Below are 14,483 nucleotides of genomic sequence, written 5' to 3'. Positions count from 1 at the left end.
CAGACCAGGTAGATGGACCACCTATTTTATTAATACAACTATGCTTCATCTATAATTCTATCATAGTAAGTATAACACTTTGTTGCATTTTTTCCCATTTAAATGTCTGTCTACCCAGACTTACTCGTTCAAAAACTGTCTCATTTACATTTTGTAGAAGTAGAGTACCATAGTGGATAGAACCACAGGCTCTGGGGCTGTCCTGTCTGGGGTTATTTGCTAGCTCTACCACTTAACAATCTTAGACAAGTCACTTCAGTCTTTTTTTTTTTTTTTTTTAAGACAGGATCTTACTTTGCCACCCAAGCTGGAGTACAGTTTAAGAGCTCACTGAAGCCTCTACCTCCCAGACTCAAGTGATCCTTCTGCTTTAGCCTCCCTAAGTATTGGGATTATAGGCATGAGCCACTGTGCCCAGCCTCACTTCTCTTTTTTTTTTTTGAGATAGGCCCTTACACTGTCACCCAGGCTGGAGTGCAGTAGCCTGATCATGGCTCATAACAGCCTCAACTTTCTGGGCTCAGGTGATTCTCCTACTTCAGCCTCCCGAGTAGCTGGGACTGCAGGTGCATGCCACAACTGGCTAATAATTTTTTGTAGAGACAAGGTCTCGCCATGTTGCCCAGGCTGGTCTCGAACTCCTGGGATCAAGCAATTTGCCCACCTCTGCCTTCCAAAGTGCTGGTATCACAGGCCTGAGCCACCGTGCCTGGCCCTCACTTCATTGTTGATGCCTTAGCTCCCTCATTTGTAAAATGGGGATAATAATAGCACCAACTTATGTGGTGGTTGTGAGAATTCAGTGATTTAAGCTATAAAGCTGGTATTCTTGGCCTTAGCTTATCTTGAGGGGGGTGGTATTTATTTACAAATAAAAGGATTATCAGCACTTAGCTCAGTGTCTGGCACATGGAAGAAGGCTTTTAATGAATGCAGAATGAATGAATAAATGAGAGCAAATGGTATAGAATGAGCCTACACAAAGGAGATGTTTCTCCTCTAGTTCTACCAGTTGGCAAGATCCCTACAGCTAAAAACAGTTCCACCATATAATCTCCAGACCTGGCCTGGCCACAGAGTAGATCAGACTAAAAATAGAGCCTGCTAAGCTTGATAAAAAAGACTGATATTGGCACACCCTGTCCTTCCAGACTCCTGCAAGCCTCGCTACTTCTACTCTGGTGTCTAGAATCCACCTCACAGGAAAAACTAAAGAAATGTTTTCCTTTAATGTCCAAAATCACACCAGCATATTTGGAAGTTAGTTTTCAACAAAGGTTCTACTGACTGAGTCAGTTCCCTGGATTTAGAAGGAAATAAATTTCTTAAGCCCTAACTAGAACAAGAAATCAGGAGTTAGTTCATACTTAGTTGAAGAATGATCATGTATGAATTCATAAATATAGTCAATGACTACAACAAAAAAATTTCGTGATCAGAATGCCTATTTCAGTTGGATATGAGTGATCAGATGGTAGTATGTGTACCCATTGATGCCATACAAATTTTGTAGGAAGCTGGTAGAGAATTTGGTTTTAAAGAGGTCTGTGTTGGCCGGGCACGGTGGCTCACGCCTGTAATCCCAGCACTTTGGGAGGCCGAGGCAGGTGGATCACGAGGTCAGAAGTTTGAGACCAGCCTGGCCAAGATGTTGAAACCCCATCTCTACTAAAAATACAAAATTTAGCTGGGCACAGTGGCAGGCACCTGTAATCCCAGCTACTCGGGAGGCTGAGGCAGGGGAATCGCTTGAACCCAGGAGGTAGAGGTTGCAGTGAGCCGAGATTGAGCCATTACACTCCAGCCTGGGCAACAGAGCAAGACTCCATCTCAAAAAAAAAAAAAAAAAAAAGTCTAGGTTTGGGACCTGAACCTACAACTTACAGCCTCCTAGGCAAATAAGCAAATTACTTAACCTTGGTACACCTTAGTTAATCTGCAAAATAGTGATAATACTAATAACAATTTGTTTGGATTAAATAAAATAGTGCATGCAAAGCGCGTATCATATAGTGACCAGTAGCTGTCACTGTGACTAATCACTGGCTTGCCCTCTTCATGTCTAACCTTCTCAAAGGTGCAGTGCTACCCCTGGCGCTGGGTTTGGCTATCACTGCTCTGCTGCTTCTCATGGTTGCATGCCGACTACGACTGGTGAAACAGAAACTGAAAAAAGCTCGTCCCATTACATCTGAGGAATCGGACTACCTCATAAATGGGATGTATCTATAGTAATGTAATTTCAATACCTTGGGGCAGGGACATGTTTTGTTTATAATTTATACATCTATTAAGTTCTGGATATTTACAGCTTCTTTTGTTTTTAATTGGGCCAGAAGATTCTGCAAATCCCAAATCTTTCTTTATTATTTATTGTAAAAAAAGTTTCCTTAGAAGTCATAAAATATTTTGAAATTTAGAGAGGAATTCATGATTAAAGATTCCTAAAAATATAATTCTGATTTATGTAAGCTGTCCCTGAAAATAGAAATGTGTACTTAGCTGAGAGAAAATTCAGCATCTCAGGAGGTGGTATTAGGATGACTGTGTTAACCCATTACCTTTTAGAAGCCAACTGTTGGCCCCTTACCATGCTGGACTGCTATAGGCCCAGCTTCCCCTTGTTCTGTGGCCCTTTTCTTCCTCCTTGAAGCTCCCAGTATTCTTTTTCTTTTCCCCTCTAAACCTGTTTCTGAGAGTGGATCTCAAGCAAGTTCATGCCTTCAATCAGATGTTACTTAGGGTGGGTATACCTAAATTATAAACCTTATGTACAAGTCAGTAAGCCTTAGGGAAGGTGAGTGTGGGTCCTTCCTAATCCCTCTGACGTCATGTCATATAGGTGGCTGCCTCCTTAGACTGACCTTTGGGAGAAAAAAACCCCAGACTTTGAATTAGTAACAGCTCTAAGATGGTCATGCAGTGAGATAGGAAATCAAGATGGAAGCAGAGAATCTGGCATGCCAAAAACTAACAGAAACTTAGTTGAAGGCAAAGAGAGCAAGGAGAACGTTTAATACTTCATTACATCAAATCAACACTGCTCCATGGTGAGAGCACAGCAACTCATTTATATATATATATATAGGCTTTGTTGATGAAAAACGACAATTGAAGAGAGGACGTTGAGTGGATTCCTGGGTACAGCTTTTGTAAAAATGTCACCATGGCTTTCATCCAATGGAATGAGTCGATGTTTTTTAATGCTATAAAATGTTAGAATGTGCCATCAGCTAATGCCAGGCTTACGTATTTCTAGACCATAAAGCAGTTTTTCACAAATTCATCTTTACAGAAAACCAGCATCTAGCTTAGCATCTTTCCCCTTTTAATTTGTAGGCTTTTAAAGGCAAATCATTCCCACCATCACTTAACGCCGGGATTATACACATTCTAGAAATGATTCTGAGAGGAGTGTATAGTATGGTGCCTATCTACACTCACATGATATTCTTATTCACGTTTTTTTTAACCATAAGTGGCAAATATTTTAAAATATTTGAAAAACACTCCAGAATCTAGTACGCTTTATTTTTAGACTGAACCTAAAGTAGGTTGTTCTTTTAACAAAGGGTTTAATTCGGGTGGGGAATATAACATATCAAAATACATGAACAAATGGAAAGTTACTTCTAGAAAAGCAAAGAAATTGGGTATCATTTTTGTTTCTTGGGAAGCTAATTTTGTTGAATGTTTAGAATTGAGCAAAGATGTAAATTTTTGAAGGGCAGTTTAGAAAAATTAACTTTGTGAATGAACTTAAGATGTCTGTACTCTATATGTGATGCTGTGCAGTTTGTTTTTATATGGAAAGATGTCAACTATAGCCATAACCAATAAAATAAAAACTGATGAGGCATGCAGCTTTCAGCACATCTTTTATACATGAAGAAATTAATTTTGTGTTGCTATGGTGTTGAAATATCCAAGATGTTCTGTATCTATGTAAACATGATTCCTTTAATAAATTGTATTTTATTATTAAGCCTTTTTTTCCTTTTAATATAATCATAAGTTGCTATTATTGACTGAGCTGTTACTGCATTATTTGGATTCAATCATACCAACCCTATTTTACAACGGGGGAAATTGAGTATTAGAGAAAGTGACATGCCCAGGGCCACATAAAGCATACTCGAGGGAAGGAGAATCAAGGTCTACAAAATATTTATATCAGGTAGACTGAATGTGACTTTTAAAAGTGATCTTCTTACCTGTAGATTATCTGATTGAAGGAGTTCTGCATCTAAGACAATGGAAACATAATTTTAAAGGGAAAGGTGTCCACAATTTCTCTCTTAAACATGTTCTTGTGTTTTACATGTCTTTTCCTAAGGCTCACTAACTCCTCCTGAACACTTAAAACTTACTTTTTCCTTTCATTCTTAGTAGATAGCAGCTACTCCTCCAGCCTTCCACAGCATTTTACTGTTTCAAATCAGCTGAGTACCCAATACATTCTCTTCCATAGGAAAATAACAGGATTTTTTTCATCTTGCTCCCAATGACTTCAAAACCTGTGTTCTGGCCCCACAACTCAGTGCCACTCAGCAACACCTCTCTTCAGTTACTGATGGCTGTTCACATGGCCCTTTACTAGATTTTCCTTTGACCCACACATAGAGATGCTCTTTTTCTTTTTTTGGGACCGAGTCTCACTCTGTTGCCCAGGCTGTAGTGCAGTGGCATGATCTCACCTCAGCTCACTGCAACCTCCGCCTCACAGGTTCAAGCAGTTCTCGTGCCTCAGCCTCCGATTAGCTGGGACTACAGGTGTGCGCCACCATGCCCAGCTAATTTTTGTATTTTTTTTAGTAGAGATGGGGTTTCACCATGTTGGCCAGGCTGGTCTCAAGCTCCTGACCTCAGATGATCCACCCGCCTCGGCCTCCCAAAATGCTGGGATTACAGGCGTGAGCCACCATGCCTGGCCGAGATGCATATTTCTATTTCCCTTTCCATTTTGCTGTTCAAGGCCAACTCTGTTGATTACTTCACCTGTGTAAACAAACAGGTGTGCTGTGCCCCAGAACACAAGCCACCATCCTTACCTTCAGATGTTCCCTCAACATCATGTTGATGATGCCTCTTAACACAGCATCTGAGCCTGAGATTCCGTAATTTGGGCTCCTTGTTAAATTCAACTATAGCATCTCAAAACAATTTCATGTTTTGGCTTACTTTCTCAAAATGGATTATGCCACTTTATTCCTAGCAGAATTACTTTAATGTTTTGTTTTCTGGACTCCAGGTTTTCTACAACTTTTCAGATTAAAATTGAATGAGAATTTCTAACAAAGAACTGCCCAAGCTGAATACAAAGAGGGAGAAGCTTAGTTTGCAGTTTGCCATTCACAAATTTCTCGTCTCGTTGGCTTTTTAAGCATCTGTGTTGCAGACTTTTCTGTTCCTGTCCCCATTTTCCGACCTACTGGATTCTAGTATTCTAAAAATAAAATGAATATTTTAAGTTATAGCTACTTTAGTGGATAAACACAGATTCTCCAGCTAAATAGAAAACCACCAAGGACAAAAATAAGGTTCGACATCCCAAAGCTGAATGTTTTTGGGAATTGACTGGTTAGAACTGAGCCTTCTCCTATATTTCCCATATTTAGGTCTAAGCATATCTTCCTTCCTACTTATTTTAATTCTCAAATCACATCAGTTTTTAAAATCTTATGTCATCACCCTGCAAATTGGAAAGAGATCAATTTATAATATTATTCAGCTTAAATCCTTTTATGAAGTTATTTCAAAATTTAGGAAACTTCTCAAAATATTTTAATACAAAAATAATGTTAACTTTTACAAAAATAGCTTAGGGAAATTGGACCAGGTGCAGTGGATCATGCTTGTAATCCCAACACTTCGAGAGGCGAGGTGGGCAGATCGCCTGAGGTCAGGAGTTTGAGACCAGCCTGGCCAAAATGGTGAGACTAAAAATACAAAAATTACTAAAAATACAAAATTAGCTGGGCATGGTGGCAAGCCTGTAAAGCCCAGCTATTTGGGAGGCTGAAGTGGGAGAATCGCTTGAACCCAGGAGGTGGAGGTTGCAGTGAGCTGAGATTGTGCACTCCAGCATGGGCAACAGAGCAAGACTCCATCTCAAAAAAAAAAAAAAAAAAAAAAAAAAAAAAAAAGGCCACGCGCAGTGGCTCACACCTGTAATCCCAACACTTTGGGAGGCCGAGGTGGGCAGACCACGAGGTCAGGAGTTCGACACCAGCCTGGCCAACATAGTGAAACCCCGTCGCTACTAAAAAAAATTAGCTGGGCGTGCTGGCACACGCCTGTAGTCCCAGCTACTCGGGAGGCTGAGGTAGGAGAATCGCTTGAACCCAGGAGGCAGAGGCTGCAGCGAGCCAAGATAGTGCCACTGCACTCCAGCCCGGGCAACAGTGTGAGACTCCATCTCAAAAAAAAAAAAAAAAAAGCTCAGGAAAATAGTGTACGGGCTTTTTTTTTTAAAGGTGCTCTTTCATTTTCATAGTCATTTCATATGACCAAATACTCAAAATCCAAATGAATCAAAAGAGTTCTTACATATAAACAAAACAGTTCTACAGATGAAACTAGAGATCTTGATAAATCTGTAAATATATGATCTAGAGATTTGTGTATAGAAAAAGAAATCAGAACCATGAACTGCAATCTGTGAGACCACAGCTTTAACTTTTTTTCTGCCAGGGAGGTGGAAAGATGAGGAAAAACAGGGGGGTGAGAGGAGGGACAGACAGAAGCATGCCTCAGAGGTTCTGAGGGCCCCCTAGCACAGCACAGTACTATATGGGAACTGAAAGTTAGATTTTACTCTATTTTCTCTCCCAGCAAGCAAAGGGCCGTTTCACAGAGATTCCTGACTGAAACAACACAAAGTCAGTTAAAAAGATGAAGCTGGGGCTGGGCATGGTGGCTCACGCCTGTAATCCCAGCATTTTGGGAGGCTGAGGTGGGAGGATCACGAGGTCAAGAGATCGAGACCATCCTGGCCAACATGGTGAAACCCTGTCTCTACTAAAAATACAAAAATTAGCTGAGCATGGTGGCGCACGCCTGTAGTCCCAGCTACTTGGGAGGCTGAGGCAGGAGAATCACTTGAACCTGGCAGGCGGAGGTTGCAGTGAGCCGAGACTGCGCCACTGCACTCCAGCTTGGAGAAAGAGTGAGAGACTGTCTCAAAAAAAAAAAAAAAAAAAAAAAGCCAGAAAGATGAAGCCGGAAGTGGGGAACCAACAATCATTATTGTAGCAATGATATTAGAAGGATTAAGGATAAGGAAATTATTGGACTTGATTCCCTCTTTTTTGTTTTTTTTGAGAGAGTCTGGCTCTGTCGCCCAGGCTGGAGTGCAGTGGCGTGATCTCGGCTCATTGCAACCTCTGCCTCCTGGGTTCTAGTGATTCTCCTGTCTCAACCTCCCAAGTAGCTGGGATTACAGGCACCCACCACCACACCCGGCTAATTTTGTATTTTTAGTAGAGATGGGGTTTCGCCATGTTGGTCAGGCTGGTCTTGAACTCCTAACCTCAGGTGATCCACCCACCTCGGCCTCCCAAAGTGCTGGGATTAAAGGCGTGAGCCACCCCACCCGGCCTGATTTCCTTTTTATCATATTACAATACACAAACATTCCTTGGCCCCTTGGGTCAGCTGGTTTTCTTCAAGTGGGATTCTTTCACCAGCCCTCTATTTGAGCCACGTGCTAGGTTCAGTGAGAACACAACACTCATCTTTCTGGAAAATGGTCAGAGGAATCCAGAGATCCAACTGAAATCCAATCAGAACCCATTTGTTTTACTGTTCAGTTCTTTAAGAACACAATAAGTTGTAGGCAATGATTTATACCTAGAAGAATGTTAGCACTTACCTAAAATAATGTATTAGCCTCTGAACCCCATTTAGAACACTAAAAATAATCCATTAGTTCATTTACAATATTAGTGTTCAGTTACCATACTCATATATTTTAGTAAAATATCAAACTATTGAAAATTTGTTAACATTTAGCTGAAAACCAAAAATACCCACCTGGCTAATGAAACAAAACTAAGCAGCTGTTTCCTGGCTGACAATCACACACCAAGAATAGCTTCAAAAATTCATGAGCATTATTACTCAAAGATGTCAGTCTATTTTAGATCAATTGAATTTTTAAGATGCTTTAATAGAGGTACATTATATACCAATTTTAAAAGTTCAGTGGGCCAGGGACGGTGGCTCACGCCTGTAATCCCAACACTTTGGGAGGCCAAGGCAGGCAGATCCCAGGGTCAGGAGATGGAGACCATCTTGGCTAACCCAGTGAAACCCTGTATCTACTAAAAATACAAAAAATTAGCTGGGCATGGTGACGTGGAAGGCTGAGGCAGGAGAATCACTTGAACCCGGGAGGTAGAGGTTGCAGTGAGCCGAGATCGCACCACTGCACAGTGAACTTTTTTTGAACAATGGCAGTATTTAAAATTAGGGCAGTGGAATTTAAAACACTTGCATGAACAATGTTAATGGATTATTTTCCTCCCAGAATGTCATTTTCTTCTAATGTTATTGACTGGAAAAGAGTTGAAACCCTCGACCGGGTGTGGTGGCTCACACCTGTAATCCCAGCACTTTGGGAGGCTAAGGTGGGTGGATCACTTGAGGTCAGGAGTTCGAGACCAGCCTGACCAACATGGTGAAACCCCATCTCTACTAAAAAAATACAAAATTAGCCGGGTGTGGTGGCGTCTGCCTGTAATCTCAGCTACTTGGGAGGCTGAGGCAGAATTGCTTGAACCCCGGAGGTGACGGTTGCAGTAAGCTGAGATCACACCATTGCACTCAAAAAAAAGAAACCCTCAATAAAAAGCTGATATTCATAATTCAGGCTTAGATTATATAAGTGGTTTTTGTTTTAAGAGATAGGCTTCTTAGGTTTCTATTAGAAGGGTGGAGGAAAAGAGTTTTTAAAAAAGAGAGGGAGAGACTGAGTCTTACTCGTTGCCCAGGCTGGAGTGCAGTGGCATGATCATAGCTCACTATAGCTTTGCTCACTACAGCCTCGAACTCCTGGGCTCAAGCAATTCTCCTGCATCAGCCCCCCAAGTAGCTAGGACTACAGGAGCACATCACCATGCCTGGCTAATTTTTGTTTTTTTGTAGAGACAAGATGTCACTTTGTTGCTCAAGCTGGTCTTGAACTCCTGGCCTCAAGCAATCCTCCTCGCTCGGCCTCCCAAAGTGCTGAGATTGCAAGTTTGAGCCACCATGCCTGGGCAAGATTACATAAATTTTGAGAGCTTGATTTGGCCTTTAATAAAACCAAATCTGTAGAAAAAATCTCATTTCAACATGATCTCACTAGACTGAAACTTTTTGAAATGTTTTCATTGTTGCCCTTCATATTATGTAAAGGAATCATGTCTATTAAGGAAAATGACATAAGGAAATGTTTTAGAAATTATGAATACTAAAGATTAAGGAGACTTTTCTTGCCTGTAACCTGTACACACACACACACACACACACACACACATCTTACAGAAAAAAAAACTCTTAGGCCTAGCTAAAATCCATTATTTCCGTTTCTACCCATTTATTCATGCTCCCTTAAAGCCCATTCCTGTTTATTCAACATTCTACAATTTTAATTCATAAACATGTAAAGTCCAAGAGCAGTGCTTGAACAATGCTGAAGGCATAGCACTGTCTGTACTAATCAGGTGGCACTTAAGTTTGTCTTGTCATATTTATATAATTGTCTCCTCAAACAGACTTCACACTTTTGAGAGTAAGGGCCCTTTTCTATTCCCAAAACCAAACATAGAGACTCATATATAGTAAAATGTTGGTAATGGCTATGAAAGACACAGACCAGTGGATACATTTAAGAATTAACTTCAGTTGTAAGGAATATCTGACCTTGGCTGGGCGTGGTGGCTCACGCCTGTAATCCCAGCATTTTGGGAGGCCGAGGTGGGGGGATCACAAGGTCAGGAGATCGAGACCACCCTGGCTAACACAGTGAAACCCCATCTGTACTAAAAATACAAAAAATTAGCTGGCGTGGTGGCGGGCACCTGTAATCCCAGCTACTCTGGAGGCTGAGGCAGGAGAATGGCGTGAACCTGGGAGGCGGAGCTTGCAGTGAGCCGAGATCGCGCCACTGCACTCCAGCCTGGGCGACAGAGCGAGACTCCGTCTCAAAAAATAAAAAATAAAAAAAAAAAGAATATTTGACCTTTACAACTATTTAAAATGGACTAGTCCTGGACCACAGGGATTCATGGCCTGAGTATGGAAGCAATTAACAGCAGCAAACTGAAGCCAACAATAAATTTAAACTCTCAAGTTTTGGGCACCAAATAATGCTAGTTTCCTGTGTCTAAGACCTTACCCAAGAAGAGGCACTTGTGAAAAGATGCATCAGTTTTAAAAGCCATTTTATTTATTTATTTATTTATTGAGAGAGTTTCACTCGTCACCCAGGCTGAAGTGCAATGGCGCGATCTTGGCTCACTGCAACCTCTGCCTCCCTGGTTCAAGCAGTTCTCCTGCCTCAGCTTCCCAAGTAGCTGGGATTACAGGTGTGTGCCACCATGCCCAGCTAATTTTTGTATTTTTAGTAGAGAGGGGTAGAGAGGGGATTTCATCATGTTGGCCAGGCTGGTCTTGAACTCCTGACCTCAGGTGATCTGCCCATCTCAGCCTCCCAAAGTGCTGGGATTACAGGCGTGAGCCACCGCACCCAGCCTAAAAGCCATTTGTAAAGAAGTAATATTTAAGACTTTTTTCAAGAGCTGGGGGGAGTGTTCACATGCCCACGAAGGTTCTTTGCCAGAATTACGCACCCACACATGCACCCAGTAGAAGGGCTTTGCTGGGAGTGCTGATTCTGCTCATTCTGGAGCTTATATTTCCTCAGTTCCAGAACTACTTCTTATAAAAGTTATAAATCACAACATTTAAATAAGATCCCAAAGTGCTACTGCCTTCTTAGAAATTCAGCTATAGTCATTATATTAATAAATCTTTGTATAGGTGAGAGATGGGTTTTGGTCTGTTCACCCTCAATCCTGTTCTTTCCTGACTTTAAGTCGATTCATTCACCACTCACTCACTCACCAGCATTTACTGTATAGCTACTACAGGGCAAGCCCTGGGCTAGGGAGTCAAAGAGAAATGACGACTGAAGTACGGTCCTGGCCCTGGAGCAGTGTAGTCACATTCTACAATGTACAGTTGGATTAATGCTAATTACTTACTCAGACTTCGCAAAAGGAAACAACCAGAGAAACAGTCTTTTTCCCATGATCGTAAACACTCCCTATCTGGTGGACTTGCTGTTCTTCCTTCTATATTCAAAAACAACCAATGCCTCTTTTACTTTTAACTTTATTTGGCAAAGCAGCACTGCATAAACTGTTCAAGAACTAGGACACAGCTTACACAGCATGTTAAGTTCATATACATTATCAGCAGCAAATTAGAAACAGAAAACCACACTAAACTACAAGTCTCCTATAATTTTGAGAGAGAGAGAAGGGAAGAACTAAGTCAGTTATGTCCAATCTGAACAGCTGAGTGTTTACAGGACATCACCTGCCATCTTATGGTTTAATATTTACAAATGCCTAGTTTTAAGGTAACAAAGCAGCTGATTGTATCTACAACATGCTATTCTATGACACCACATCAAAAGCTTTAAAAAGAAAGCTCATCTCTATTTTCTTAGTAGCATCTAACAGATATCCAAATACCAAGAATCTTAACTTGTGAATGGTGGTGTTATCCAATGCACAAAAGCAATCTGATAAATTAATATCAGAACAGAATTAAGTGTCCAAGAAAAGAAAAACCACTCCTCAAAATCAATTCACAAACTAAGTTTTCCATTTTACAGAACCCTTTCTTTTAATATTTCCAAGTAAAATATGGGCATGTTAAAGTAATATTACACAAATTTATACTTTGCATCCTTCCTCTACCAATTTGGCTCTGTGCCTCTTTGAAGAATCAGAAACCCTAAAAAAACACACATTTTCATGCTGAAAATAACAGTGTAACAAAGTCCAAAACAAGCTGTGATGGTGTTGGTTTTCAAAAAGCTTTGAGGACTGAGATGAGCAATCCACTGTAATTTTATACTGGTCAAGCTGATGTTGCTTTTACAATTCATCCCTGTGAGGAAAAAAGAGAGAAATACATTAGTAGGAGTTACACACTACCCAATTTGGCTTTATAATAGTTTAGACACAACTATTAAGTCAATAAAAATGCGCTGATCACCAAGCAATATATTTAAAAAATAAAAATGCAAACAACCCAAGTGAAAGCAACAGAGGGTCAGCCATTCCAAACATCTTCCATGCCACTCCAGAACCAAGTATGCAACCTAAAGGGCGTGAGTTCTTCATTTTTGATTTCTAAAAATAGATTTCTTCCTTCAATGTCAAAATTCAGAAAAAATATCTTTTAGATCTACGGTCATCTTTACACTATAGTAAAATGACAACTTAAGTGTTTTAGAGTTCAAATGAGTTGATAGTTACATTCACAAAATTGGACAGAAATGTGGTCTTTTGCTCAGAATGTCCACTAGCAATTGTGGAGTGGGTCAATCTCAACCCAAGCGCTCTGAGAGAAAAGGCATCATCTGTAGGTATAATATACCTGTCAGCTGATTTCATAAGGCAGCTTTATCAGCTCCAAAAGAAACCATTCACTCAGCCAGGTGCAGCACTGTACCAGCAACTGCCAGTGAGAGGAAGGAAGGAATAAAAATGCAGTCTAAAATAAACTGTATGGTATCTCAGTTATACCTCAGTAAAACTGTTAAAAGTGAAAAAATGAATAAAACCACGAGAGAAGCCCACAAGCCTCATAGCTGAAGGTAATGTGAGTGACAAAAACAAGAACTTTAGGGGTAAAGAAGCATGATATTGATAATTAAGTCTCAAGTGGTTTAAGAAAAAGGAAAAAAATTACATATATGTATATATAGAAAGAGGGGAAAGAAATGTAGAAAAATGATAATAATTGATGACTCTGGATGAAGAGATTTAGGAGTTATTTGTACTATCCTAGCAACTTGTTGGCAATAAAAATTAAAGTTAAAAGTTTTGAAAAAGTTGTTAAGATAAATTTGAAGGGAAGAAGAAATAAAGAGCTCATAATTTCACAAGTAAGTGGGGGTAAATTACTGGACAATTTTTTTAAACTAAATTTTGTAAATTGTGCAAGAAAATATTTTTAAAATCATTTCTCCAATAAGCTGCCTTTATCCTATAGTATTGGATTATCTATTAAATGACAAATCATAAGTCTGCTTCCTCTTAATATATTCTTCCAAATAACAATGTTATAATTCTCATAGAACAGCTTTTACTTAACTCATGCAGGCATTAAAATATTTGGTCAACAAAGAATTATTTGCAAAGTGCTCTATTCATAAAGTAAAATTCACTTCTGCTTTTTAGAATATGAACTGAAGATATTGTTTTTCTTGTTTTGGCTTTTTTTTTTTTTTTTTTTTTTTGAGACAGAGTCTCGCTCTGTCACCTAGGCTGGAGTGCAGTGGTGTGATCATGGCTCACTGCAACCTCTGCCTCCCAGGTTCCAGCAATTCTCCTGCCTCAGCCTCCCGAGTCGCTGGGATTACAGGCAGGCACCACCATACCCGGCTAAATTTTTTTTGTATTATTAGTAGAGACAGGGTTTCACCACGTTGCTCAGGCTGGTCTCGAACTCCTGACCTCAAGTGATCTGCCCACCTCAGCCTCCCAAAGTGCTGGGATTACAGGTGTGAGCCACCATGCCCAAGCCAAAGATATTGTTATTTTTAAATAATTTACTACAATTTGCCAGGGGCAGTGGCTCACACCTGTAATCCCAGCACTTTGGGAGGCCAAGGCGGGCGGATCATGAGGTCAGGAGATCGAGACCATCCTGGCTAACATGGTGAAACCTCGTCTCTACTAAAAATACAAATAATTAGCCGGGTGTGGTGGCATGCACCTGTAATCCTAGCTATTCGGGAGGCTGAGGCAGGAGAATCGCTTAAACCAGGGAGGCGGAGGTTGCAGCAAGCTGAGATCACGCCACTGCACTCCAGCCTGAGCGACAGAGCGAGACTCCATCTCAGAAAACAATAATAATAATAATAATTTACTACAATTTACCTGCTGCAAGACATTAAGTATACTGTAAATAAATTAATGCCCCCTCAACAACATAGGTACCATTTTTCCAACTATCCTCTCTGTCTAAAAAATACTTTAAAAAAGGAAAAGAAATTAGGTTTATAGACCTGAATTTTAAAATTAGAGGTGCTAGGGAAAAACAAAAACTTGCTGCCAGCGCGTGCACAATTTTTTAAAAGCCTAATACTCTAAAATCCATGTAACTTTCAAGTTATTAAATTTTCCCCAATGTTCAAAATTCTGTATGACCATTTCTTTATCTGACTTACATGTATAGATCATTTACAATAAAAAATA

The 14,483-nt window shown here is 40.3% G+C and overlaps 2 protein-coding genes and 1 long non-coding RNA gene across 10 annotated transcripts in view, besides 1 other annotated feature; 2 read left to right on the top strand and 1 right to left on the bottom strand.

The window, feature by feature from the left end:
* The window catches only part of RAET1E-LRP11 (RAET1E-LRP11 readthrough), a 77,374-nt gene extending 73,350 nt beyond the window's left edge, over positions 1–4,024 (top strand). The window contains exon 15 of the long non-coding RNA NR_182438.1: positions 2,078–4,024. This is a non-coding gene — a long non-coding RNA (RAET1E-LRP11 readthrough). The remainder of the gene's footprint in view (positions 1–2,077) is intronic.
* LRP11 (LDL receptor related protein 11) overlaps positions 1–4,024 on the top strand; it is a 45,603-nt gene extending 41,579 nt beyond the window's left edge. Inside the window, exon 7 of the mRNA NM_032832.6 lies at positions 2,078–4,024. Within this exon, the coding sequence (NP_116221.3) occupies positions 2,078–2,232 (155 nt within the window). The 3' untranslated portion in view covers positions 2,233–4,024. The remainder of the gene's footprint in view (positions 1–2,077) is intronic.
* Positions 6,693–6,742: an enhancer, noted in NCBI's record as "active region_25268". NCBI's record gives its function as "activates an Ori minimal core promoter by ATAC-STARR-seq in GM12878 lymphoblastoid cells {active_cell/tissue: GM12878}" and the evidence as "EXISTENCE:reporter gene assay evidence [ECO:0000049][PMID:35858748]".
* Positions 11,360–14,483, bottom strand: part of PCMT1 (protein-L-isoaspartate (D-aspartate) O-methyltransferase) — a 61,727-nt gene continuing 58,603 nt past the window's right edge. For 7 of the 8 annotated variants that reach the window (NM_005389.2, NM_001252049.1, NM_001252050.1 and 4 more), the window contains one exon: positions 11,360–12,165. Coding sequence is in view for 4 of the 8 variants with exons in the window: in NM_001252049.1 (NP_001238978.1) it covers positions 12,153–12,165 (13 nt within the window). In the remaining 4 variants the exon portion in view is untranslated. The remainder of the gene's footprint in view (positions 12,166–14,483) is intronic. The other variant, NM_001360452.2, reaches the window with a different exon arrangement.

The sequence above is a fragment of the Homo sapiens genome, chromosome 6 (genome assembly GCF_000001405.40).
Source record: "Homo sapiens chromosome 6, GRCh38.p14 Primary Assembly".
Taxonomy (NCBI): Eukaryota; Metazoa; Chordata; class Mammalia; order Primates; family Hominidae; genus Homo; species Homo sapiens.
The sequence above is the reverse complement of the archived record's forward strand: the minus strand, read 5'-3'. Positions and strand labels throughout refer to the sequence as shown.